General features: G+C 48.2%; 1 protein-coding gene, 1 long non-coding RNA gene and 1 other non-coding gene across 8 annotated transcripts in view, besides 9 other annotated features; 2 read left to right on the top strand and 1 right to left on the bottom strand.

Annotated features, from left to right (window-relative positions):
* Window positions 1-16,076, top strand: part of WDR88 (WD repeat domain 88) — a 43,686-nt gene extending 27,610 nt beyond the window's left edge. For 2 of the 5 annotated variants that reach the window (NM_173479.4, XM_047438166.1), the window contains 4 exons: window positions 691-773; window positions 4,474-4,542; window positions 12,625-12,717; window positions 15,673-16,076. In NM_173479.4, the coding sequence (NP_775750.3) occupies window positions 691-773; window positions 4,474-4,542; window positions 12,625-12,717; window positions 15,673-15,849 (422 nt within the window). In that variant the 3' untranslated portion in view covers window positions 15,850-16,076. Of the gene's footprint in view, window positions 1-690; window positions 774-4,473; window positions 4,543-12,624; window positions 12,718-14,313 lie in introns of those variants that run through there. The other 3 variants (NR_135565.2, XM_011526449.3, XR_007066581.1) reach the window with 3 other exon arrangements.
* On the bottom strand, window positions 48-17,155 carry LOC124904691 (uncharacterized). Of its 2 annotated transcripts, none has more exons than XR_007067228.1 (2): window positions 14,477-17,155; window positions 48-932 (listed from the first exon to the last, which is right to left on the bottom strand). It is a non-coding gene; the product is annotated as an uncharacterized LOC124904691 (long non-coding RNA). The 2 variants fall into 2 exon arrangements; XR_007067227.1 differs by lacking the exon at window positions 48-932 and adding an exon at window positions 11,780-12,862.
* Window positions 780-1,189: an enhancer, noted in NCBI's record as "active region_14440". NCBI's record gives its function as "activates an Ori minimal core promoter by ATAC-STARR-seq in GM12878 lymphoblastoid cells {active_cell/tissue: GM12878}" and the evidence as "EXISTENCE:reporter gene assay evidence [ECO:0000049][PMID:35858748]".
* Window positions 1,533-1,702: an enhancer, noted in NCBI's record as "experimental_51151 CRE fragment used in MPRA reporter constructs". NCBI's record gives its function as "activates a minimal promoter by MPRAs in K562 erythroleukemia cells, with activity observed for the non-introgressed 19:33652247 or rs8113143 variant allele {active_cell/tissue: K562}" and the evidence as "EXISTENCE:reporter gene assay evidence [ECO:0000049][PMID:34662402]".
* Window position 1,618: a transcriptional cis regulatory region, noted in NCBI's record as "Neanderthal adaptively introgressed variant 19:33652247 (GRCh37/hg19 assembly coordinates) or rs8113143 in the experimental_51151 CRE". NCBI's record gives its function as "modulates activity of the experimental_51151 enhancer by MPRAs in K562 erythroleukemia cells {active_cell/tissue: K562}" and the evidence as "EXISTENCE:reporter gene assay evidence [ECO:0000049][PMID:34662402]".
* Window positions 16,227-16,991: an enhancer, noted in NCBI's record as "H3K27ac-H3K4me1 hESC enhancer chr19:33666856-33667620 (GRCh37/hg19 assembly coordinates)". NCBI's record gives its function as "activates a minimal SCP1, AML or CMV promoter by ChIP-STARR-seq in naive H9 embryonic stem cells {active_cell/tissue: H9 hESC(naive)}" and the evidence as "EXISTENCE:reporter gene assay evidence [ECO:0000049][PMID:30033119]".
* Window positions 16,704-16,773: an enhancer, noted in NCBI's record as "active region_14441". NCBI's record gives its function as "activates an Ori minimal core promoter by ATAC-STARR-seq in GM12878 lymphoblastoid cells {active_cell/tissue: GM12878}" and the evidence as "EXISTENCE:reporter gene assay evidence [ECO:0000049][PMID:35858748]".
* Window positions 16,974-17,133: a silencer, noted in NCBI's record as "silent region_10491". NCBI's record gives its function as "represses an Ori minimal core promoter by ATAC-STARR-seq in GM12878 lymphoblastoid cells {active_cell/tissue: GM12878}" and the evidence as "EXISTENCE:reporter gene assay evidence [ECO:0000049][PMID:35858748]".
* Window positions 17,334-17,407, top strand: TRT-AGT1-3 (tRNA-Thr (anticodon AGT) 1-3). The gene has a single exon. It is a non-coding gene; the product is annotated as a tRNA-Thr (tRNA).
* Window positions 17,334-17,693: a silencer, noted in NCBI's record as "silent region_10492". NCBI's record gives its function as "represses an Ori minimal core promoter by ATAC-STARR-seq in GM12878 lymphoblastoid cells {active_cell/tissue: GM12878}" and the evidence as "EXISTENCE:reporter gene assay evidence [ECO:0000049][PMID:35858748]".
* Window positions 17,864-17,923: an enhancer, noted in NCBI's record as "active region_14442". NCBI's record gives its function as "activates an Ori minimal core promoter by ATAC-STARR-seq in GM12878 lymphoblastoid cells {active_cell/tissue: GM12878}" and the evidence as "EXISTENCE:reporter gene assay evidence [ECO:0000049][PMID:35858748]".
* Window positions 17,934-18,053: an enhancer, noted in NCBI's record as "active region_14443". NCBI's record gives its function as "activates an Ori minimal core promoter by ATAC-STARR-seq in GM12878 lymphoblastoid cells {active_cell/tissue: GM12878}" and the evidence as "EXISTENCE:reporter gene assay evidence [ECO:0000049][PMID:35858748]".

The following is a 26,713-nucleotide window of genomic DNA, read 5'->3' on the forward strand; positions in this document are numbered from 1 at the left end:
GTTTCATGGAAGACAACTTTTCCACAAATGGGAGCTGTGGAGGATGGTTTCGGGATGACCCAAGTGTATTACATTTATTGTGCCCTTTATTTTTATTATTATTACATTGTAATATATAGTGAAATAATTATACAAGTCAGCATCATGTAGAATCAGTGGGAGCCCTGAGCTTGTTTTCCTGCAACTAGATGGTCCCATCTGGGGGTGATGGGAGACAGTGACAGATCATCAGGCATTAGATTCTCATAAAGAGTGCACAACCTAATCCCTCGCATCCGCAGTTCACAATAGGGTTCATGCTCCCGTGAGAATCGAATGCTGCAGCTGATCTGACAGGAGGCCGAGCTCAGGTGGTAATACGAGCGATGGGGAGTGGCTGTAAATACAGATGAAGCTTTGGCTTGCTTGCCTACCACTCACTGTCTGCTGGGTGGCCTGGTTCCCAACAGGCCATGGATTGGTACCAGTCTGTGGCCCAGGGACTGGGGACCCCTGTCATAGAACATGACTACTGTAAATGATAAGAATCAGCTGTAATTGGCTTGGGGTCGTGGAGCCACTCCAGGAAGGGGTTTCAGTGTTGTCAGAGTGAGATGAGGTGGTGCCTCGCCAAGGCATCTTCAGCTGGCTTTGGGCTCACTTGGCTTGGAAAGTTGACCCCCATCTCCACCCTTTCATTTTCTGTTGCAGGCTCTTTTCTCATTTCTGGAGGGTTTGATAGGACTGTGGCTATTTGGGATGTAGCAGAAGGCTACCGGAAGCTCTCTTTGAAGGTACATGTGGCCAGCATGAGATTGAGGATCTGAACTTCCCTCCCGAGTCCTTCCTGTGCTCAATGCTGGTTGCTGGGGACACAGCTGTGAGTGACACAGGCCTTGATGCCTCTGTGGGCTGATGAAGGACAGACAGGAAGCCAGCAAACACACCACCGACTGTGAGGAGTGAAATGGAGAAACCACAACAGGGTGACATGATGGGGACAGAGGCGGGGGACCCATCCACATTGCATGGGCAGAGCTTCCTGGAGAAGGAGGTGTTTGAGCTGAGAACAGAAAGGACTACATAAGTGGGGATCTTGAAGAAGAAGGGCAGTCCAGGCAGATGGAACAGCTGATGCAAAAACCCTGAGGTGGGAGTGTCTAAGAACAGCAGAAGTTACTGTGCAGGCCTGGGCACTGTGGCTCACTCCTGTAATCCCAGTACTTTGGGAGGCTGAGGTGGGCGGATCACCTGAGGTCAGGAGTTTGAGACCAGCCTGGCCAACATGGTGAAACCCCCGTCTCTACTAAAAATACAAAAATCAGCCGGGTGTGGTGGTGCAAACCTGTAGTCCCAGCTACTTGGGAGGCTGAGGTGGGAGGATCGCTTGAACCCGGGAGGCGGAGGTTGCACTGGGCCAAGATTGTGCCACTGCACTCCAGCCTGGGCGATAGACTGAGATTCTGTCTCTAACAAAACAAAACAAAACAAAAAACAGAAATTACCTTGAAGAGAGACGCATGCCCTAGTGAGGCATGCACAGAAAGCTTGGGGTTCCAAAATGGGGATGTCAACTGAATGCTCTGGGCTACAAGTGAGAGGATGAGAGGAGCCCCAACTCAGAGTGGCTCTATGATACGGGGATGTGTTATCCAACACAGCAAGAACCCACAATTGCCTCATGCTGTGCCCCTGTTCCCCCAAGGGGCCCCACACCCCAGGATTTCTGCATACTCCCTGGTTTCACGATCTCACTGTCACCTTTGGCTGTGAATGCGTGCATCCCTGATTCTTGGTCTTTCTGTTCCCAGGGACACAAAGTAGACATGTGTCCTTGAGCAGCCCATATTCAGGTCCCTGGGGCTGGTCTATCTGAGCTGTCTTCTCCTAGGACTTGGGGAGACAAAGCGAGTTTCCTCACAGCAAATAAACGGATTAAAATGGAATGTTAAACCTCTCTGTGCTTAAAGTCCCTCTGTCATCTAGGCACAGTGGCTCATGCCTGTAATCCCAGCACTTTGGGAGGCTGAGGCTGGAGGATCATTGGAGGTCAGGAGTTCGAGACCAGCCTGGCCAACATAGTGAAACACCATCTCTACTAAAAATACAAAAATTAGCCAGGTGTGGTCATGCCCACCTGTAGTCCCAGCTACTTGGGAGGCTGAGGCATAAGAATCTCTAGAGCCTGGGAGGCAGAGGCTGCAGTGAGCTGAGATTGCACCACTGGACTCCAGCCTGGGTGACAGAGCCGGTTGTTCTATTCTCTCTCCTCTTCTCTCCTCTTTCTCTGTGCTCCCATCCTCAAATTCCTGTCCTTTAATTACACTAAGCGGTTTAACCTTCCCTCTGATTCCTTTTTCTCTAACCACACTATGGCCTCACTTTCTGCCTCTTTCCATACGGGGAAGGCCAAAGAAGGACAGAGATGCTGGCATAAAGCCCAGACATCATTCAGTGTCTGAGGCAGCAATGGCAGCTATCTGCTCTGAGCTGTTTTTTTTGTTTGTTTTTTTTTGAGACGGGAGTCTCGCTCTGTCGCCCAGGCTAGAGTGCAGTGGCATGATCTTGGCTCACTGCAAGTTCCGCCTCCTGGGTTCACACCATTCTCCTACCTCAGCCTCCTGAGTAGCTGGGACTACAGGTGCCCACCACCATGCCCGGCTAATTTTTTTTTTTTAAATTTTTATTTTTTAGTAGAGATGGTGTTTCACCATGTTAGCCAGGCTGGTCTCGATCTCCTGACCTCGTGATCTATCCGCCTCGGCCTCCCAAAGTGCTGGCATTACAGGCATGGAGCACCGCGCCCGGCCTGCTCTGAGCTCCTATGTACCCAAAGAAAACACCCCACTCCTTCTCTGCTTAAGCCACAGTGGATCGAGTTTGCAGTTATTGGAAGCGAAAAGCCCCCTCACTTACAGGGCCTCTGAGGGGTATTTCCTAGAACAAAGAATGCAAATGAAAACCTGAGACCAGCTGGGAATATAATATTTCTCCCCCAATCTTGCTAAACACCCGAGTACTATTTTAAAAAACCATACACAGTGGCACACACATTTGTAGTCCCAGCTACTCGGGAGGCTGAGGCAGGAGAATCACTTGAGCCCAGGAGGTTGAGGCTGCAGTGAGCTATGATTGAGCTGCTACACTCCAGCCTGGGGGACAGAGTAAGACCCTGTGTCAAATAAAAATAACTAAATAAATAAATATAGAATGGGTAGGGCGCAGTGGCTCATGCCTGTAATCCCAGCACTTTGTGAGGCTGAGGCAGGTGGATCACTTGAGGTCAGGAGTTCGAGACCAGCCTGGCCAACATGGTGAAACTCCATCTCTATTAAAAATACAAACATTAGGTGGGGTGTGGTGGCTCACGCCTGTAATCCCAGCACTTTGGGAGGCCGAGGCAGGCAGATCACGAAGTCAGAAGATCGAGACCATCCTGGCTAACACAGTGAAACCCCGTCTCTACTAAAAATACAAAAAATTAGCCGGGTGTGGTGGCGGGCGCCTGTAGTCCCAGCTACTCGGGAGGCTGAGGCAGGAGAATGGCGTGAACTTGGGAGGCGGAGCTTGCAGTGAGCCGAGATCACACCACTGCACTCCAGCCTGGGTGACAGAGCGAGACTCCGTCTCAAAAAAAAAAAAAATTAGCTGGGCATGGTGATGGGCACCTGTAATCCCAGCTACTTGGCAGGCTGAGGCTGGATAATTGCTTGAACCCAGGAGGTGAAGGTTGCAGTGAGTGGAGATTGCACCATTGCACTCCAGCCTGGGCGACAAGAGCAAAACTCTGTCTCAAAACAAACAAACAAACAAACCCCAAAAAACAACAACAACAAAAAAAATAGAATGTACATATATCACATGTCTTTACACTTTGTATTCCACCCTAAATGTTGTTGATGAAACCGAGGAAGTACAATGAGCTGCTCTGCTCTTTCCTTTTTTTTTTTTTTTTGAGACAGTCTCACTCTGTTGCCCAGGCTGGAGTGCATGATCATGACTCACTGCAGCCTCAACCTCCCCGGGCTCCGGTGACTCTCCCACCTTAGCCTCCTGAGTAGTTGGGATTACAGGCGCATGCCACCATGCTCGGCTAATATTTTGTATTTTTAGTAGAGATGGGGTTTCACTATGTTGCCCGGGCTGGTCTCAAACTCCTAGACTCAAGCAATCTGTCCACCTCAACCTCCCAGAGTACTGAGATTACAGGCATGAGCCACTGCACTCAGCCAGCTACTCTTAAATGTAAGCAACACTGGGTTCTTGACTTTTTGTTGTTTTTTTAGATATGGGACCTCACTCTGTTGCCCAGGCTGAAGTGCAGTGGTGCAATCATGGCTCACTGCAGCTTCCACCTCCTGGGCTCAGGTGACCCTCCCGACTCGGCTTCCCAAAAGGCAGGTTACAGGTGTGAGCCACTACACCCAGCTTGTTTTTGTTGTTCTTTCAAAATTATTTTCTCCACGTTTTCATTAAAATTTGATATTTCTTCAGGGCCATAATGACTGGGTGATGGATGTTGCCATTAGCAACAACAAGAAATGGATCCTGTCTGCTTCCAAGGTAAAAGTGGTCAAGCTTACAATATCGATCACGTTCGCCAGGATTGGTGATAGTGGAAGAGTTATTGCCAAGTATAAAATTCCTGGGTGGGTTCGGTGAGCTGTACCTGACCGGGCCATCGTGTTCACGGAGCTGCCTGGGAATGTGGACAGCATGTCCTTCTATGCGCAAACGCGATGAGTTTGGAGTTTCCAGGTATTTCTGTGTCTGTACCGTTGACATTTGAACTTTGTTGGAAAAAGAGTCTGGCTGGATCAGTGAGCAATGGAGCCAATGGGGGACTTGAAGGGAAAGCATCAACTCATGGATAAGCCTTTGACACTGCCCAAGGTCCGGGGGGGTCTCCCTTTCCTGCAGCACTGCATCTTGAGATTCCCATTCCACTGGCACATAGCAGCCAGCCCAGGATATCCCAACAGCTGTCCTGCAGGTGTGAACCCCGGAGAAGTGGGGACCTACTCCGCCCTCCACCCATATTAGAGCAGCAGTCCCCAACCTTTTTGGCACCAGGGACCAGTTTCGTGGAAGACAATTATTCCATGGTTGGGGGGCGGGGGATGGTTTTGGGATGGTGCAAGAGCATTACATTTATTGTGCACTTTATTATTATTACATTGTAATATATTATGAAATAATTATACAACCCACCATTATGTAGAATCAGTGGGAGCCCTGAGCTTGTTTTCCTGCAACTAGATGGTCCCATCTGGGGGTGATGGGAGACAGTGACAGATCATCAGGCATTAGATTCTCATAAGGAGCACACAGCCTAGATCCCTTGCATGCACAGTTCACAATAGCCTTCGTGCTCCTGTGAGAATCTAATGTGGCCACTGATCTGACAGGAGGTGGAGCTCAGGTGGTAAAGCTAGTGACAGGGAGCAGCTATATATACAGATGAAGCTTCACCCCTGCTCACCTCCTGCTGTGTGGCCCATTTCCTAACAGGCCACAGACTGGGGGGTCGGGGACCCCTTTATTTGAGCATGTCATGTTCTAGGCTAGAGGTTTCTAAATCCAGGAGACTGTGGGAGAGGCGCTGCCTAGCATGATCAACTTTTCAGAGAGCCAACTTGGAATACAAACATATCAGAAAAAAAAAACAACAAACCCATAATAATACAATATATAGCAAAAGATTATATGCCTATATGTTACTACTTTAATATAAAAATAAGAAGTAAAGGTTTACTTGAAATTATACATTATTTTATATTTTTTACTTTTTTGTTCCATGAATATTATTATTTAAGCAAAACAACAGGACTAGTGAACAGCGACAATTAGTAGTAATTAACAGTAGGGCAAATTAAACAAATATGTTTGAGAAAAATATAAAAATATTGGCCAGGTGAAGTGGCTCACGCCTGTAATCCCAGCACTTTGGGAGGCCGAGGCGGGTGGATCACCTGAGGTCAGGAGTCCGAGACCAGCCTGGCCAACGTGGTGAAGCCCCGTCTTTACTAAAAATACAAAACTTAGCCGGGCGTGGTGGCAGGTGCCTGTAATCCCAGCTACTCGGGAGGCTGAGGCAGGAGAATTGCTTGAACCCGGGAGGCAGAGGTTGCAGTGAGCCGAGATCACGAGATCAAGCCATGGCCCTCCAGCCTGGGTGACAAGAGCGAAACTCTGTCTCAAAAAAAAAAAAAAAAAAATTATGTTTCTTTCTATTCTTTGATACAGTACTTTAGTGTTACTTTAAAAAAAATCTTGGCTGGGCATGGTGGCTCATGCCTGTAATCCCAGCACTTTGGGAGGTTAAGGTGGGAGGATCGCTTAAGTCCAGGAGTTGGAGACCAGCCTTGGCAACATAGTGAGACGCTATCTCTACAGAAAAACTTTAAAAAATTAACCGAGTGTGGTGGTGTGTGGCTGTAGTCCCAGCCACTCCAGGTCCAGCTACTTGGGAGGCTGAGGTGGGAGGATGGCTTGAGCCTGGGAGGTCGAGGCTGCAGTGAGTCATGATGGCATCACTGCACTCCAGCCTGGGCCAAACAGTGAGACTGGTTGTGGTCTCAAAAAAAAAAAAAAAAAAAAAAAGCTGGGTGTGGTGGCCACTCACGTCTGTAATCCCAGCACTTTGGGAGGCCAAGGCAGGCAGATAGCTTGAGCTCAGGAGTTTGAGACCAGCCTAGGCAACGTGGCAAAACCCTGTCTCTATAAAAAATTAGCCAAGCATAGTGATATGAGCCTATATTCTCAGTTACTCCAGGCCCAGCTACTTGGGAGGCTGAGATGGGAGGAATGCTTGAGCTTAGGAGGTTGAGGCTGCAGCGGGCTGTGATCATGCCATTATACTCCAGCCTGGGCGACAGAGTGAGACCCTGTCTCTTTAAAAAAAAATTATTGAATATTTAAACTTTTGGCTAGGCGCAGTGGCTCATGCCTGTAATCCTAGCACTTTGGGAGGCAGAGGTGGGAGGTCTGCTTGAGCCCAGGGGTTTGGGACCAGCTTGGGCAACATGGTGAAACCCTGTCTCTACCAGAAATACAAAAAATAGCTAGGAGTGGTGGCGCACACCTGTAGTTCCAGCTACTCACTCAGGAGGCTGAGATGGGAGGATGGTTTGAGCATGGGAGGCAGAGGCTGCAGTGAGCCACAATCATGCCACTACATTCTATCCTGGGTGACAGAGCTAGACCCTGTCTCCAATAAATAAATAATAAATTTTGTAGGTTATATTATATATTCTTAAGATATATAGAGGTAAGACTGTTTAAAAAAGAGAACACAAATAAAATAGGATTGATTAAATACATATTACTTATATTTAATGTAAAGCAGTGACTTCATTCTATGAGGCCAGCACAAGTTGGATACCAAAGCCAAGAACAAACATGACAATAAAAGAAAATTACAGACCAATATCTCATATTAATATAGATGCAAATATGCTCAACATAATATTGGCAAATAAAATCCAACAGTACATTAAAAGGATTATTTACCATGACCAAGTGGGATTTATCCCAGGGATACAGGGTGGCTCAACATAAAATCAATGTAATATATTACATTAATAGAACAAAGGGAAAAAAAACCCTATACAATCATTTCAACTGACACAGAAAAGGCATTTGAAAAAATTCAAAACCCTTTCATTATAATAATAAAAAAACCCAGAAAGCTAGGAATAAAGGGATAATTCCGCAACATGATAAAGAGTGTTTAGAAAAAATCTGCAGCTAACATGATTCTCAGTGGTAAAAGACTAAAATTTTTCTTCCCTAAGATCAGGATCAGGACAAGGATGCCTACTTTCATTGCTACTATTCAATATTGTACTGGAAGTGCTAGCCGGAGCTATCAGACAAGAAAAAGAAATAAAAGGCATCCAAATTGAAAAGGAAGAGGTAAAATTCTCTTCCTTTCCTTCCCTCCCTCCCAACCTTCCTTCCTTCCTTCTCTTCCTTCCTTCCTTCTGTCCTTTCTTTCTTCCTTCCTTCAATCCTTCCTTCCTGCCTTCCCTCCTCTTTTCTCTTCTCTCCTCTCCTCCTCTCTCCTCTCCTCTCTCCTCTCTCTTTCTCTCTTTCTTTCTTTCTAGGGTCTCATTCTGTCACCCAGGCTAGAGTGCAGTGGCACAATCTCGACTCACTGCAACCTCCATCTCCTGGGTTCAAGCAATTCTCCCGGTAGAAACGGGATTTCACCATGTTGTCCAGGCTGGCCTTGAACTCCTGACTTCAAGTGATCTGCCCACCTTGGCCTCTCAAAGTGCTGGGATTACAGGTGTGAGCCACCATGCCCAGCCAAAATGATTTCTTTCTTTTTTTTTTTTTGAGATGGAGTCTTGCTCTGTCACCCAGGCTGGCGTGCAGTGGCATGATCTTGGCTCACTGCAACCTCCATCTTCTGGGTTCAAGCAATTCTCCTGCTTCAGCCTCCCGAGTAGCTGGGATTACAGGCATGTGCCACCATGCTCGGCTAATTTTTGCATTTTTACTAGAGATGGGGTTTCACCATGTTGGCAAGGGTGGTCTTGAACTCCTGACCCCGTGATCCACCCGCCTCGGCCTCCCAAAGTGCTGGGATTACAGGCATGAGCCACCGTGCCCGGCCCCAAAATTATTTCTATTCATAGGTGGCATGATCGTAAATATAGAAAATCCCAAAGAATTAACAAGAAAGCTACTAAAGCTAATAAATGAATTCAACAAAGTTTCAGGGTACAAAATCAACACACAAAAAAGCAGTTGTGTTTCTATACACCAGCAATGAACACTCTGAAAAGGAAGAGCAATTCCATTTACAATGGCATATAAAACAATACTTAGGAATAAATCTAACAAAGGTGGTGAAAGACTGGCACAATTAATACTATAAAGTATTGCTGAAAGAAATTAAAGAAGACTTGAATGAATGGAAAGACATCCTATATTCATGGATAGGAAGACTCATCATTAAGATGTCAGTACTACTCAAAGTAATCTACAGATTCTGCATAATCCTTATCAAAATTCCAACAGCATTTTCATATGAAATTGCAAGGGGCCCCGAATAGCCAAAAGAATCTTGAAGAAGGAGAAGGGGAAGGAGAAGAATAAGAGGGAGAAGGAGAAGAAGAAAATTGGAGGACTCACACTTTCTGACTTTGAAGTTACTACAAGTCTACAGTAATTAAAACAGTGTAGTTCTGGCATAGGGACAGACATATAGACAAATGGCTTAGAATAGAAAGCCCAGAAATAAGGGATTTTTGACGAGGGTGCCGAGACCATTCAATGGAGAAAGGGCAGTCTTTTCAACAAATGGTGCTAGGAAAATTGGAAATTTACATGCAAAAGAATGAAATTGCACCCTTACCTAATACTGTATAGAAAAATTAACTCAGGATCAAACACCTTAACTTGAGAGCTAAACTATAAAACCCTTAGAAGAAAACAGTGGAGAAAATCTTCATGATACTGACTTTGGCAGTGATTTCATGGATATGACAACAAAAGTATAGGCAATGAGAGCAAAAACAGACAAACTAAACTTCGTTGAAATTAAGAACTTTTGTGCATCAAAGGATACTGTCAAGAAAGCAAAAAGACAACTTAGAGAATGGGAGAAAATAGTTGCACATCATGTATCTGATAAGGGATTAATATGCAGAATACATAAAGAACTTCGAAAACTCAACAACAAAAAACAAACAACCCATTTCAAGGATGGGCAAAAGACTCGAATAGGCATTTCTCCAAAGAAGATATACAAATGGCCAAGAAGCATATGGCAAGATGCTCAACATCATTAGTCATTAGGGAAATGCAAATCAAAAGCACAGTGAGGTATCACTTCACATCTATTAGGGGGTCTATAATAAAAGAACTCAGAAAATAATGAATGTTGGCAAAGGATGTGGAGCAACTGGAACCCTTGTGCCTGACTGATGGTGACAGAGTGAGACCCAGTCTCAAAAAAAAAAAAAAAAAAAAAAAGATTTTACTTACTGGCAACAACAGGTTTTTTGATTTGTAGGCTTTATTTCCCAGCACTCCAAAAGTGTTCAATGTACTAAATCTATAAGCTTGCTTTGAAAGACCAGGTATTTGTCAATGAAGTCCTTTGCACTATAAATTCACGGTATAGGCTATATCTATCTAAAATGTGCATTATTTATTTATTTTATTTTATTTTATTTTTGAGATGGAGTTTCTCTCTTGTTGCCCAGGCTGGAGTGCAATTGCACAATCTTGGCTCACCGCAACCTCCGCCTCCCGGGTTCAAGTGATTTTCCTGCCTCAGCCTCCCGAGTAGCTGGGATTACAGGCATGCACCACCACGCCTGGCTAATTTTGTATTTTTAGTACAGACGGGGTTTCTCCATGTTGGTCAGGCTGGTCTTGAACTCTCGACCTCAGGTGATCCACCCACCTTGGCCTCCCAAAGTGCTGGGATTACAGGCGTGAGCCACTGCGCCCAGCCCATTTATTTATGTTTTAAAGAGACAGGGTCTTGCTGTATCGCCCAGGCTGGAGTGCAGTGGCATGATCTCAGCTCACTGCAGCCTGAACCTCCCGGGCTTAGGCGATCCTCCCGCCTTAGCCTCCCGAGTAGCTGGGATTACAAGGTGCCCGCGATCATGCCTGGCTAATTTTTTGTATTTTTAGCGGAGGCGGGGTTTTCCCATGTTGCCCAGGCTGGTCTCAAACTCCTGGCCTTAAGTGATTCGACCGCGTTGGCCTCCCAATGTGCTAGGATTACAGGCATGAGCCACTGTGCCCGGCCCATTTTGACATCTTTTCTATGGTCAGAAATGATAATAGCCATCTTGTAGGCACATGTTTAAGGAAGATATCTCTTTCCATTTCTCTAATTGAAAATCTTGGCTGGGCACGGTGGCTCATGCCTGTAATGCCAGCAATTTGGGAGGCTGAGATGGGCACATTGCCTGAGCTCAGGAGTTTGAGACCAGCCTGGGCAACGTGCCCAAACCCCATCTCTACTAAAAATACAAAATATTAGTGGGGTATGGTGGCGCATGCCTGTAGTCCCAGCTATTCGGGGGGCCAAGGCAGGAGAATCACTGGAGCCTGCGAAGCGGAGGTTGTAGTGAGCTGAGGGCATGCCACTGCACTCGGGCCTGGGTGACAGAGTAAGACCCTGTCTTAAAAAAAGAGAAAAAAAGAAAGAAAAAATCTCATTAAGTGCTTCTGTACATTTCGAGGAAGGTGAAAAGTGGCCCCAAACACACTATAGGTGTGTATCACCACACCCAGCTAAATAAAAAATATTATTATTATTATTTTTTTGAGACAGAGTCTCGCTCTGTCACCCAGGCTGGAGTGCAATGGTGCGATCTCGGCTTATTGCAAACTCTGCCTCCCAAGTTTAAGTGATTCTCCTGCCTCAGCCTCCTGAGTAGCTGGGATTACAGGCATGCAGCACCAGGCCTGGCTAATTTTTGTATTTTTAGTAGAGACAGAGTTTCGCCATGTTGGCCAGGCTGGTCTCAAACTCCTGACCTCAGGTGATCCGCCTGCCTTGGCCTCTCAAAGTGCTGGGATTACTGGTGTGAGCCACCATGCCCAGCTTGAAACTAACTTTTGAATTAAAGTATCTAAGAGCTGGGAGGATGTTTTTTGTTGTCATGATTTGACAAACCACTTGCTATACTGTAGGAAGTATGCTTATTGGTAAGATCTGACAGCTTTAGGCAGCATGAAGTCAACACATCTGTTACAAAAATGACCCCTTTGTTCTCCCACAGGATATTTAGTTGCAACTGCTGAATCAAGAAATGTAACATACTCAATGTATCCATTTTTTTATTGCTGCTATAATAAGTTACCAGACTGTACTGTTTAAACATTAAACAACATAAATTTAATATCTTACAGTACTGTAAGATAGAAGTCTGATAAGCTCTCACTGGGCTAAAATCTAGGTATCAACAGGACTGCATTCCTTTCAGGAACTATTATTAACTAAGGTCCATGGTTTTATAGTTTCATGCTTTGTGTTACTGTATATTTTTGCCAAATGCATATCATATATCCACCAATACAGTGTCATATAGTTTTGTTTGTTTGTTTGTTTTGAGACAGAGTCTCACTCTGTCGCACAGGCTTGAGTGCAGTGGTGCGATCTTGGCTCACTGCAACCTCCGCCTCCTGGGTTCAAGTGATTCTCCTGCCTCAGCCTCCCAAGTAGCTGGGACTACAGGTGCACGCCACTGTGCCCAGCTATTTTTGTATTTTTAGTAGAGACGGGGTTTCACCATATTGGTCAGGCTGGTCTTGAACTCCTGACCTCACCCACCTTGGCCTCTCAAAGTGGTCGGATTACAGGCATGAGCCACCGCGCCTGGCCATACAGAATAGTTTTACTATTCATCCCTCCTCCTCTTCCCTATAATCCTGGGCAATGACTCATCTATTTATATTCTTCAGTTTTGCCTTTTCCAGAATGTCATATGGTTGGAATTATACTCTGTAGCCTCTTCAGGTTGGCTTCTATGGCATAACAATGTGCATTGAAGGTTCCTCTGTCTTTTTGTGCCTTGACAGCCCATGTCTTTTGATTGTTGAATGACATTCCTTTGTATGGATGTACCACAGCCTGTTTTGTGACCGCTGGTTTGCTATTTGTTTTAGGATAGGACCATGAGACTGTGGAATATTGAAGAAATTGATGAAATTCCTTTGGTAATCAAGTACAAAAAGGCCGTGGGCTTAAAGTTGAAACAGGTTGGTATTGGGTAAAATTAAGCCCAGTGAAGGCTTTCGTTAGTTCCCTCTATAAATTAATTTATCATTTGAATGAACTTTGGGCACCTGGAGATGCAATCGTGAACAAACAGACTGACATTTTTGCCCCAGGGGAGCTTAAATTCTAAGAGAGGAAACAAAGAGGAAAGACACAAGAAAAATGTGTAGTAAGTCTCATGGTGATAAGTAATTGACAGAAAAATACATAGCAAACAGGAGTAGGAGTGCTGGAGGTTGCAAGATTTTAAAGGGTGGTCAGGATAGGTCTCATTGAGGACTGACAGCTGTGTCGACTTGAAGGTGGTGAGGGGGTGAGCCATGCAGATATTTAGAGGAAAGAACTTCCAGCTGGATGCGGTGTTTCACGCCTGTAATCCCAACATTTTGGGAGGCTGAAGCAGGCGGATCACCTGAGGTCAGGAGTTCGAGACCAGCCTGGCCAACATGGTTAAGTCCTGTCTCTACTACAAATACAAAAAAATTAGCCAGGCTTGGTGGTGCACACCTGTACTACCAGCTACTCGAGAGGCTAAGGCAGGAGAATCCCTTGAACCTGGGAGATGGAAGTTGCAGTGAGTTGAGATTGCGCCACTGCACTCTAGCCTGGGTGACAGAGCGAGACTCTGTCTCAAAAAAAAAAAAAAAAAAAAAAAAAAAAGAGAAGAAAGAACTTCCCAGCATAGAGAACAGCCAATGCAGAGAGAGCCTGAGAGGCAGGAGCCAGCCTGGTGCATCGGAGGGGTGGAGTGAGGGGGCTTGGAGGGGATGAGACCTGCAGGAGCACTGGTCAGTGGAGGAATGGCCGGGTACACAGCTGGGCACTGCGTCAGCCTCCTACCCTGGGCAGGTCCCCAGTGCCCCACTTCCCATGCAAAAGGCTTAGGTGCCTGCGCTTCTCTAGTGCAAGAGCTTGGTGGTCAGGCCAGCATATTTTCTGCTTCACCAGGCACAGCTGGGGCTGGCCACAGAGGCTGTCCCTGGGCAGTGGAGGCAACTCTCCGCTGGAGCCTCTCTGTGCACACACCTGGCTGCTGCCTTGGAGTGCAGGCTGGGCCCCTTTAAGTCCTTCCCTGGGAATCCTGGAGCTGCCTAGACTTGGCCTCCTCTCAGAAGGTTCGGCTGGGAGCCACTGCTTCTGGGAATGGCTAATTTGGGAGCCGCACTGCAAGGCAGTTGTGTGAGGGGTGGGACTCACATGGACCTTGTCCCTGTTTGGCCCTTAAACTGTGAAAGCTGACTTGCTACAGAGCAGTGATGGCCCTTGTTTTTCACTGGCCACCTAGGGCAAGGCCTGGGAGCCTCCTCCTCTGTGAGCCCTGTTGTTCTGGGGTTGGACCGTGGGATGTAGGAATGTAGGATAAGGTAGGTAAAGGATCAAATTTCCTTTTTTCTTTTTATTTCTTTTTTGAGATGGAGTCTCGCTCTGTCGCCCAGGCTGGAGTGCAGTGGCGCGATCTCGTCTCACTGCAACCTCCGCCTCCCGGGTTCAAGCGATTCTCCTGCCTCAGCCTCCCGAGTAGCTGGGACTACAGGCGCCCACCACTACGCTGGCTAATTGTTTTGTGTTTTTATTAGAGACGGGGTTTCACCATGTTGGCCAGGTTGGTCTCGAACTCCTGAGCTCAAGTGATCCGCCCGCCTCAGCCTCCCAAAGTGCTGGGACTACAGGCGCAAGCTATCCGCACCCAAACTGGGATCTAATCTATTTCTTGCAAAAAAGGAAAAGAAAGAGGCCTACCTGAAGCTGAAGCAAGGATGAGCCTGCTGCATTTGACTTGCTCTGAATCAATCAACATGAGAAGCCTGAGGCCAGGCTTCCCCGAGGCCTGCCCCAGGTAGGGTTTACCCCCCTCTCCAGCAGGCCTCAGTGTCCTGGAGTGGGCAGAACAGCAAAGCCCAGGGGCTGGGAGAGCCAGGGCAGGGGCGCGGCCACCTTGCAGGCTCTTCTCCAGGGGACCATGCATGGTGGGAACCCCTGAGGGGCCTCTGCCCATGGCCTAGGAGACCTCATCCCATGGCACTCTTGCTTGTTAGTGGGAAGCAGACGTGATGGGTGAGCTGTGCCATTTGTTTTCAGTGTACTCTGTGAGCTTTGGCCAGAAACAGGCTCAGGGACGCAGGAGGGCACCTAGCACCTGCATCAATCTGCTTCACACCCCTGCTTTGTTCAGAAATCTTGCCTACTTGCGTCTCATGGTTCTGTAAAAGTTGGGTGTTCTCAGGATGTCAGGGAGTCATCCTCTTAGTCCCACAATTTTACTCGGCACAGAACAATGGATGGGGCGGGACACTCACCCCCATCCTCCCAACTGTCAAGGGGCTTGCCACGCATGTCCTCAGGACCCCCATGGCAGGAGACATGAGCTGGCAGGAGACATGAGCTGGCAGGAGACATGAGCTGGCAGGACCTGCTTAGCCATTGGTGGGGAAGCAGCCTGTGCTCATTCTCTCTGCAATTTCCGCCTTTGTGGGGTTAGAGATTCCAGAGAGGGGCTGCGCCCAGTGGCTCACGCCTGTAATCCCAGCACTCTGGGCTGCCAAGGTGGGTGGATCACTTGAGGCCAGGAGTTCAAGACCAGCCTGGCCAACATGGAGAAACCCCATCTCTACTAAAAATACAAAAATTAGCAGGATGTGGTGGTGCACGCCTGTAATCCCAGCTACTCGGGTGGCTGAGGCAGGAGAATTGCTTGAACCTGGGAGGCGGAGGTTGCAGTAAGCCTAGATGGTGCCACTGCACTCCAGCCTGGGCAACAAAGTGAGACTCTGTCTCAAAAACAAAAACAAAAACAAACAAACAAACCAAAAAGAGATTCCAGAGAGGGGAACCCTTGCCTTGCCCCAGCTCAAGGTAGCTGGGAGAATTCTAATGGCATGCCTGGATCACCTCTGACCAGCACCTCCTTTCTGCTCTTTTAAAATATCCCATGTCAGTGCGAAAGATGTGACAGGCCTTTCTCCATCTTCAAGAGTGACACCTCTTCTGAAATGTTCACCCAATGCGTGTTCTGCCGGATAGATACAAGGGGCTTGCCAGCAGATACTTCATCGTCATCATCATCATCGGAAAGGGAGAACTCACCGCCGCCAAGGGGAAGCAAGGATGACTGACAGCCACAGGCCCCTTTGAGTGACTCCAGCACAGGCTACCTAGCATGTAGGTTTCGGGGCTTTGCAGGGGCTTTCTCTTGGGCCCCTCCCAGGCTCAGCAGGCCTGTCAGACTGGGGCAGGACCCAAGCCCTGGCTGGACTCAGCACAGTGCCACCTCCTCAGCTCTCAGCTTGGGGAGTGAACACTTTCCGTTTTCATGCAGAATAAATCTAATTCCTTTGGAAAACAAGCGTGCATGTGCATCTGAAAAGCAGTCTTGCTATTTCTAAGCTTTATGTCTTGGTGCTCATCCTGTTTGATTCTTGGAACACATATTAGACTCACATTGTGGAGTCTGGAGTTGCCCTGTAAGGTGACCTGTGGGGGCTGGCACCAGCAGTTCTGGAGAGTTTGTCAAATGAGTATGACAAGGTGTGGGGCCCCCTCTGTGGACGTGATGGCAAGACACAATGAGTGCCTCCCTGGCTAATGCTCCCAGATGGCCACTTGCCCGGAGCAGAGGACGGTTTGGTTAGGCAAGGGGGTGGCGGTGGCATTGCCATCACGGGATGTCTCACGCTTTCTCCTCTAGACGTCTTAATTTCCAGAACCCCTTGCTTATGTGCAGCCCTCTTCCTGCTGCCACGGCATTTTGCACAGCGTGCATCAATCCAGAAATAGGCTGAGATAGGAGCTTAGTTTCCTATTGCACACCATGCTGGGTGAACCTTTCTGTGCATGCTGCAGGGATGCTGGGTGGATGGGTTGGCAGTGTTCGGCTTCGTAGTTGCCCACAGGCCCTCTGGAAAGTGCGGAGACCAGTGGCTGGTGTAGTTGCGTGAGGACACCCAGAAGGGGTCAGTGAGAAACTAGGGAGGGGAGGGCCTTGCCTGCTCTGGCAGCAGAAACCCCTCCATGTAAGGTGTTGGTGCTCCACGCCAGCAGCCTGGGAACCCTGAAGTCCACGATCCCTCCTGAGCCTTCCGGACCCCTCGACTTTCCCCCAGCTCAGGATCCGCGGAAGTAGCGACTCAACTGAAGTTATAGTCCCGGGAGCTGGCAGGGCCCCGGGTCTTCTCAGGCTGAGGTCGCGGGGCAGAATGGTCCGAAGCTCACCGGGGTCACAGTCGGACCGAGGCGGGTGTGCGCCTCGACCGGACGCCAGGGGAGCCAGCAGCCCGGCCGCGCTGGCGGGGCCGGGGGTTCTCCGGAGTGGGTAGGGGCTCGACCGCACTGCCCTGAGTCCCAAGCCCTGCACCAGCGTTCCCCAAAGGCGGAGCGTCCTGGCTCCACGTTGGAAGAGACATTACCGTGACCAGGAAGTCTGGCCTTCCCAGGCTCCGCCCGCTCCGTGCAGCCCAAGCTTCCGGTCTCAGTCTCAGCTGCCTGTGTGAATCGGAAGCTACACTACGCGTGCGCCACAACAGGCCGAATGTGTGCGCATGCGCGCGGCCCATATGGTAAATAGTAATGAAGAATAGTTTAGGAAAGTACCTGTACGGGTGGCGCCGTGGCTTAGTTGGTTAAAGCGCCTGTCTAGTAAACAGGAGATCCTGGGTTCGAATCCCAGCGGTGCCTCAACCGAGCGTCCAAGCTCTTTCCATTTTTGCTCCTGCACTTTTGTGCTCTGTACCCGGCTGCCCGATACTATGAGGGTGTGAGCGGGATCCCGAGAGGCCTAGGTAGACGGGCCCCCCAACGGGGCGTGGCCTCGGCCACGGGGGCGGGTGCAGGCGGGCTTCGGACTCCACCTTCTCGGGTCTCAGGCTCTGTGGGGCGTAGGCGGCGCGGGGACCCAGGCGACCGCGGTTGCCATGGTGCTGGCTGGCCGTGGGAGGCGAGCGGCGGGCTGGGAAGCAGCTGTGCGAGTCCAGCGAGGAGCCGGTGTTCGCCCCGAGGCTGCTTCCTCAGGGCGGGCGGTGGACGCGCTCTCCCACGCCGCCTTCTGTGGCGTGGGTTCCTCGCGCTAGTCTTCCTGGCTCCAAGCTGCCACTTGGGGGAGCCCACGCGGGTGCCGATCCTCGACGTTCGCCGGGCTTAGCTGAGCCTCGCAAAGGCCTGAAGATTGCCCGTCTCCCTGCAGCCGCGCAGTGGGTGCAGCCTTTTCACAAATGCAAGACCTGGACCGGCGGCGAGGCCAAGGGGACCCCGTGTGGAGGGATGCGGGACTGAGTCCGGTTAGCGTGATCCTCAGTCCGATGACTGCGTGGAAACTCCAGGCCAGGCAGGGGACTCTGCCCCAGCTGCAGACGGCCGGGTGTGGGCTGAAGCCAGCTGCCTGGGCTGGGGTTGGTTGCTCAGCGCTGGGGTTCTACCCACATTTGTATGTGGGAACCTATTCCTGAGCAAGTGCATTCGAGGCTTTGGGGGTGGTGGGGTAGGGTGGGGTGAGGCATTGGAGTTTTTACAAACATTCTCCAGGGATTCACATGTCAAACCCGACAGGACAGTCCCAGTGCAGAAATTGCAGTCATGGCATAGGCTGTGTAGTCAAATTCACCTGCCCCAGAAGCAGTTCCTCTTCCTGCCTCTTCTATGGATCTGGGTTTATTGTTTTTGTTTGTTTGTTTATTTCTGTCGTTTTCTAGTCAATTCTCGCGCTTTTGTATCTTGGTTGTTTTTGACTGACATTGCCTAGGAAAGCTTGTAAGGAGACTTTGACGTTTTGCAGTGCTGATAGGAGCGTTCACCTGGATCCAATTAGGGATGAATTTATTGGAAACTGGGCTTGCGTCATTGTGGAGCTGGTTTATTTCTGGCTCATACTTACGCCACTGCAATCCAGCCTGGGCGACAGAGCGAGATTCCATCTCGAAGAAAAAATAAAAATTAAAAAGTCCCTCATTGGATACAGGGTTTGAAATCTTTTCTCCGTTTCCTTTTCTCTTTGCTATTTATTTATTTATTTATTTATTTATTTACTGAGATGGAGTCTTTGTCGCCCAGGCTGGAGTGCAGTGGTGTGATCTCTGCTCACTGCAACCTCCGCCTCCCCGGTTCAAGCGATTCTCCTGTCTCAGCCTCCCGAGTAGCTGGGATTACAGGTGCACATCACCACGCCCGGCTAATTTTTGCATTTTTAGTAGAGACGAGGTTTCATCATGTTGGCCAGGCTGGTCTCGAATTCCTGACCTCAGGTGATCCGCCCCGCCCACCTCAGCCTCCCAAAGTGTGGGGATTACAGGTGTGAGCCACCGCATTTTTTTTTTTTTGAGACAGAGTCTCACTGTGTCACCAGGATGGAGTGCAGTGGTGTGATCTCTGCCCACGGCAACCTCCACCTCCCGGGTTCAAGCGATTCTCCTGCCTCAGCCTCCCAAGTAGCTGGGACTACAGGCGCGTGCCACCACGCCCAACTAATTTTTGTATTTTTGGTAGAGACGGGGTTTCACCATGTTGGCCAGGATGGTCTCGATCTCTTGACCTCTTGATCCGCCTGCCTTGGCCTCCCAAAGTGCTGGGATTACAGGTGTGAACCACCGTGCCCGGCCTTCTTTGCTTTCTTAATACTGTCATTAGAAGTGCAAACGTTTCAATATTGATCAAGTCTAATGTATCTACTTTTCCTTTTTGCTTATGCTTTTGATGTCATATTCAAGACTCCATTGCCAAGTTCAAGGTCATAAAGATTTACACTAATGTTTTCTTATAAGGGTTTTATAGCTTTTGCTCTTACATTTAAGTTTTGGATCTACTTTGAGTCAATTTTGTATATGATGTGAAGGAGGGGTCCAGCTTCATTCTTTTGCATGTGGATTTTCATTCATCCAAACGCCATTTGTTGAAAAGACTATTCTGTTCCCAAAGGTCTTGGCACCCTTGTGGAAAATCAATTGACCATAAATATGAGGGCTTATTTGTGGTTTTCTAATTCTAGTACCTTAATCTACATGTCTAGCTTTATGCCTGTGCCACACTCTTGATAACTATAGCTGTGTACTAAATTTTCAAATTGGGACGTATGAGGACTTCAAAGTTGTTATTTTCAAGATTGTTCTGGCTATTCTGGGTCTGTTGAATTTCCATGAGTTTTAGAATCAGCCTGTAAATTTCTGCAAACAATCCAGTTGGGATTTTGATAGAAATTGCATTTGATAGAAATAAATCATTTGGGGGGATATTGTTATCTTAATAATGTTAAGTTTTCTAATCCATGAACATGGAATGGCTTTCAATTTATTTAGGTCTTCTTTAATTTCTTTCAACAAGGTTTTTAGTTTTCAGAGCATAAGTTTTACACCTCTTTTGTTAAGCACATTTCTAAGTATTTTCTTTTTTTGATACCATTATAAGTAGATTTTTTTTTTTTTTGAGAAGCAGTTTCACTCTTATTGCCCAGACTGGAGTGCAGTGGTGCGATCTTGACTCACTGCAACCTCCACCTCCCAGGTTCAAGCAATTCTCCTGCCTCAGCCACCCAGGTAGCTGGGATTACAGGCGTGTGCTACCACGCCTGGCTAATTTTTGTATTTTTAGTAGAGGCAGGGTTTCACCATGTTGCCCAGGTTGGTCTCCGACTCCTCGCATCAAGAGATCTGCCTGCCTCGGCCTCCCAAAATGCTGGGATTACATGCAAGAGACACTGTGCCCAGCCTGGGTCCCATATATTTCTTGCTGGGGTTATTTCTAGATACTGTGAATGGGATAATTCCATTTTTTAAAAATTGCATGCTCCTGCTAAATAGGAATGCCTTTGATGTTTAAATGTGGCTCCTTAAAGCAGCCCTCTTGCCTGACTGTCTTGACTGTCTTATTACTGCTGATTGCTTGTTTGATTTTTGGGCAGATTCTGAATTGTGCAAATTGGGATGGTGAATGATAACTTTGATCTTAAAGGGAAAAAAAGGACAACTTACAAACAAGAAAAAGATATCTACAACACATATAAGTGACAAAATAATTTTTAGCAGAGGAAGGGCCCAAGGGGTATAGCAAAGCAGTGAAAATTACCGCATTCTATCAGAATCTGAAAAGCTGGGTTATGAACAATCCCAGCCTTCAGTATTTATCCAAAATAAATGAAAACAACGTCCATAAGAAAATGCCACAGATGCTCTCAATACAATAGTAAAAAACTAGGAACAGCCCAGGTGTCCACAGGAGATGAATAAACTGTGGGTTATCCAGGCAATGGACCACTACACAGCAAGAGAAAGGGATGGGATGCTGACACTTACACAGACGTGGGTGGAATCTCACGTCGTGTACAGTGAAACAGTACATCATTTATGATTTCACTTACATAAAGCTCTAGGAAATGCAAATTAATCTATAGTGACAGCAGAGCAATGGTTGCATAGGTGGCAGAGATTGATTTCTTGAAAATGGGTACAAAAAGACCTTCGAGGGGTTGATGGAAATGCTCTTTATTTTGTAGGAGTTTGGGTGTGTGTTTATCAAAACTCATTAAATTGTATGCTTAAGATCTATGCATTTCACAGCACAAAAGTCAATCTAATCTAAATAAAAATATTAAAGGCCGGGCACAGCGGCTCATACCAGTCATCCCAGCAGTTTGGGAGGCCAAGGCGGGTGGATCACTTGAGCTCAGGAGTTCAAGACCAGCCTGGCCAACATGGCAAAACCCTGTCTCTACTAGAAATACAAAAGTAGCCAGGCATGATGGTGCACACCTGTAGTCCCGGCTACTTGGGAGTCCGAGGCACAAGAATCGCCTGAACCTGGGAGGTGGAGGTTGCAGTGAACTGAGATTGCGCCACTGCACTCCAGCCTGGGTGAAAGAGCGAGACTCTAACTCAAAATAAAATAAAATAAAAAATAAAATAAATGAATAAAAAGAGTTCAAGACTGGCCTAGTCAACATAGCAAGACTTCCTCTCTCTAAAAAAAACTTAAAATAATAAAAGTCATGTTGACAGCAGTCTGGTTCGTCTTCCCAGCCTGTCCCCACCAGCTCCACGTGGATTTAACTATTTCTTGCACATGGCCTGTGCTCTTCCAGTAGGGCAGAGCCTGCATTTGTTGGGCGGTGGACTGTCCCATTTCCCTCTGTTTCTACCTCCCATGCAACTGTGGCCTGAAGGGCTCCAGACAGGGAAAGAGAGGTTTCATCTGCGCTAGGAGGGCAGAGATACGCACATACCATCAGCTGCTTCCAGGAGAGGGTTTCAGCTTTAATGACTGAGAGGTGGCCTCAGCCTTGGGGAAGAACCCTCCTACAGCCTCTCCGGAGGAGCAGGGCCTCCTCACTGCCGGGGAAGGCTGAGAGTGTGGTCTCCAGTATGCTGAGTTCTCAGCTGCAGGAGGCAGAATCACTCATCCATTTCCCTCACCCACCTCTGTTCAATGATGGTGATCTTTCCTTTTCTTTTTGAAATGGAGTTTTGCTCTATTGCCCAGGCTGGAGTGCAGTGGCACAATCTCAGCTTACTGCAACCTCTGCCTCCCGGGTTCAAGCAATTCTCCTGCCTCAGCCTCCCAAGTAGCTTGGACTATGGGCATGTGCCACTACTGCCTGGCTAATTTTTGTATTTTTAGTAGAGACAGGGTTTCACCATGTTGGCCAGGCTGGTCTCAAACTCCTGACCTCAAGTGCTCTGCCCGCCTCAGCCTCCCAAAGTGCTGGGATTACAGGTGTGAGCCACAGCGACAGGCCAATTTTTTGCTTTTTTAAAGACAGGGTTTCACTCACTTTGTCGTCCAGTCTGGAGTGTGGTGATTCAATCACGGCTCACTGCGGCCTCTAACTCCAGGGCTCAAGCCATCCTCCTGCCTTAGCCTTCCGAGTAGTGGAGACTACAGGCATGAGCCACCATGCCAGGGTAATTTCTAATTTTTTTGTAGAGACAGGGTACTGCTATGTTGTTCAGGCTGGTCTTAAACTCCTGGGCTCAAGTGATCCTCCCGCTTGGGCCTCCCAAAGCACTGGGATTGCAGTCATCAGCCACTGCGCCTGGCCAGTGATGGGTGAGTTTTATAAATCAAAATGTAATGGTGAATGTATTTGTACAAACTATATTTACAAGATTCTATCATTTAATTTAAAAGGTTGACTGGTGTGGAAACAGAAACATCATTTCGCACCACATTTTATTTCCTACAGTCAATTAGATTATACTTTAATACAAAAAACTAATTAAAATTTAATCGAACTTTAGCAAACATGGGATGTCTATGAAGTGTAAGACAATTTACTACATGTTCTGGGGGCTGAACAGGAGCGTGCTTTTGGTTTCTACCAGAAGCGGTCTCTCCCTGCCGCACGTCCGCCCCTGAAAAGAATGCCTAGGATAGGCAAATTCAGGCAGGCGGGGAGAGAAGGGTGGTGTTGGAATTAGTGTGGACTGACTTTCAGCATTGTTTTGTTCTTCACTGATCTGTGCCTCTGAGATAATGTAACACCTTCTTCTGAATTTAGAGTGGCTCCTAAGAAGCAGTTGTGATCAGTTATTTAAAAAAATAAAATGATGCCAAACTGGACACTGGCTGGGCTTACTATGCTGTGTATGGCAGATCACCTGGGGCACGTGTGCGTATCTGGGATTGAATTGCATAAGCAGGTTGGGAGCCTTGCTTTAAGGATGGGTTGGAGGCCAGCTGATGCTCCAGGAGCCTGTCTGCTCTTGAATTCCTCAGCAGAGCTTCTCTGGCTCAGTCCCACAGGCACACAGCTAAGGGTGACTGCAGGCTTCGGGGTGGACATCTGGGATGGCTGCCCAGCAGGTGATGTTCAGTAAATCCACACCTAGGAGAATCAAGCCCTGGAGACGGCCAGGCTGATCAGATTCCTCTGATGCTGGAGTGCGCACCTCTGATTTCCCTCTTTCAGTGAATCCCAAAGCTCTTTTTTTTTTTTTTTAGATGAAGTCTCACTCTGTCGCCCAGGCTGGAGTGCAGTGGCACGATCTGCAATCTCTGCCTCCCAGGTTCAAGTGATTCTCCTGCGTCAGCCGCCCCAGTAGCTGGGATTACAGGCGCCCACCACCACACCCGGCTAATTTTTTTGTATTTTTAGTAGAGATGGGGTTTCACGATGTTGGCCAGGCTGGTCTTGAACTCCTGAGCTCAACTGATCCGCCGGCCTTGACTTCCCAGAGTGCTGGGATTACAGGTGTGAGCCACCACACCCAGCCTACATTTTTTAAAAGAGAAAGTAAAAATGTAAACCATAGGGCCAGGTGTGGTGGCTCATGCCTGTAATCCCAGCACTCTGGGAGGCCGAGGCAGGCAGAGCACTTGAGGTCAGGAGTTTGAGACCAGCCTGGCCAACATGGTGAAACCCCGTCTCTACCCAAAATACAAAAATTAGCCGGGCATGGTGGTGGGTGCCTGTAATCCCAGCTACTCGGGAGGCTGAGGCAGGAGAAACACTTGAACCCAGGAGGCAGAGGTTGCAGTGAGTCGAGATTGTGCCGCTGCACTCCAGCCTGGGCGACAGAGCAAGACTCTGTCTCAAAAAAAAAAAAAAAAAAAAAAAAAGGAAGCCATAGATGGGGAGAGAAATTTGGAATACGTACACCGAGATCCCTCTAAGGGATCTCCGGAGTTCCAAATAGTCTTACTCACTTCCAGCGTGAGTGGTGTTCCAATTTCCCCTTGGCAGGCAGGGTCCATCACCCCAGCCAGCCCAGTCCCTCCCTTCTTTGCTCATTGATTCAGAGGCATGGGGAGCTCAGAGTGGCCAGGAGTCAGTCTCAACTTCCAGTTCGGTGGAATCAGTGCTGTGACTCCTGGCGGAATCATTCCTTCCTTAGGAGCTAAGACCTCTAGGCCAGCAGACCATGAGATGGGAGGAACAGGAAACAAAATTACCTAGTGGCTCACTAAGGGTAATAGTGAACGGTGCCATTCCTTTTCCATTCCTTGATTCCTGGACCCTCGAATCCTGGCTAGAAGCAGCAGCGCCATCTATCGGACGCTAATTCGGAGCTTATGCCGCCTTCTGAACAACCTTGCTCCAACCCTGCAAGGTATCGCCTCTGAGCTGATGCTGTAACTGCGTCTTCAAAAGGCCATTCCAGGCCGGGCGCAGTGGCTCACGCCAGTATACTCAGCACTTTGGGAGGCCGAGGCAGGCGGATCACGAGGTCAGGAGTTCGAGACCAGCCTGACCAACATGGTGAAACCCCGTCTCTACTAAAAATACAAAAATTAGCAAGGCGTGGTGGCGTGCGCTCCTCGGGAGGCTGAGGCATGAGAATCGCTTGATCCCAGGAGACAGAGGTTGCAGTGAGCTGAGATCGCACCATTGCACTCCAGCCTGGGCGACAGAGTGCAAAAAAAAAAAAAAAAAAAAGAAAAAAGAAAAAAGCCATTCCACTGTTCTATCAAGCCAGCTGCTTCAGATTGGTGGGGAACATGGCAACACCAGTGAATTCCATAAACATCGCCGCACTTCATTTGTGGGAAATTGAATTCCTTTTTGTGTGTGTGTGACGGAGTCTCGCTCTGTCACTCAGGCTAGAGTGCAGTGGTGTGATCCCTCGGCTCACTACAACCTCTGCCTTGCAGATTCAGGCGATTCTCCTGCCTCAGCCTCCTGAGTAGCTGGGACTACAGGCGTGCACCACCATGCTAGGCTAATTTTTGTATTTTTAGTAGAGATGGGATTTCACCATGTTGGCCAGGCTGATCTCGAACTCCTGACCTCAAGTGACCTGCCCACCCTGACCTCCCAAAGTGCTGGGATTACAGGTGTGAGCCACCGTGCCCAGCCTACTTTATTTTCTTTTTAAAAAATTTAATTCATGTTTCATAATAATCCTCTCCCTCCCCACTTTTAGAGACAGGGTCTTACTCTGTCCCTCAGGCTGGACTGCAGTGGTGCAATCATGGCTCACTACAGCATTGAACTCCTGGGCTCAAGCTATCCTCCTACCTCAGCCTCCTGAGTAGCTGGGACTACAGACATGCACCACTGTGCCTGGCTATTTTTTTTTTTTTATAGAGATGGGGGTCTCACTAAGTTGCCCAGGCTGGTCTCAAACTCCTGAGCTGAAGTGATCCTCCTGCCTTGGCCCTCTAAAGTGCTGGGACTACAGGCGTGAGCCACCATGCCCAGCCCTTTCCCCCTTTGTAATGTTGTTTCATTTGGTTTGGGCCAACATAACACTGTTCTTAAATAATATAAAAATGAATGGATTTAAATACAGTGATTAAGTTCATAATAAAGATGGGCTGTCTGTGGTGGTGGAGGGGCCCACGGAGCTCCAGCAAGTGGGTAGCACTGCCTGCTTCCTATTGCATCCCCCAGGGAATTCCAGGGTGTGTGTGTGTGTGTGTGTGTGTGTGTGTGTGTGTGTGTGTGTGTGTGTGTCTTTCTCTCTCTCTCTCTCTCAGGGCTGGTGGTCTTGCTACCAGACACCTGGAGCCCCTCTGCCAGCTGCTTTGAGCTTGGCTGAAAGTGAGCTTGGTCTGCTCCTCTCACCTGCTATGATTAAGGAGGGGCCACTCCTTGGGACGGAGGGGCTTGTCCATGGCTTTCTTCATCCACCCCTCCAGCCTTGCATTCCCACAATCTGTACTTAGGCCTCGAGACTCAGGCTGTCTCAGGGTGTCACCTTTATTCCTGTGGCTCTGTAGTAACCTGTTTTGTGTTGCTGTAAAGGAATGCCTGAGGCTGGGTCATTTATAAAGAAAATAGGTTTATTTGGCTCACAGTTCTGCAGACTGTACAAGAAGCTTGGCACTAGCATCTGCTTCTGGCAAGGGCCTCAGGAGGCTTCCAATCAAGGCCAGACATGGTGGCTCATGTCTGTAATCCCAACACTTTGGGAGGCCGAGGCAAGCAGATCACTTGAGGCCAGGAGTTCGAGACCAGCCTGGCTAACATAGCGAAACCTCATCTCTACTAAAAAATACAAAAATTAGCTGGGCGTGGTGGCAGGTGCCTGTAGTTTCAGCTACTTTGGAGGCTGAGGCGGG

Source organism: Homo sapiens, chromosome 19, assembly GCF_000001405.40.
Source record: "Homo sapiens chromosome 19, GRCh38.p14 Primary Assembly".
Classification (NCBI taxonomy): Eukaryota; Metazoa; Chordata; class Mammalia; order Primates; family Hominidae; genus Homo; species Homo sapiens.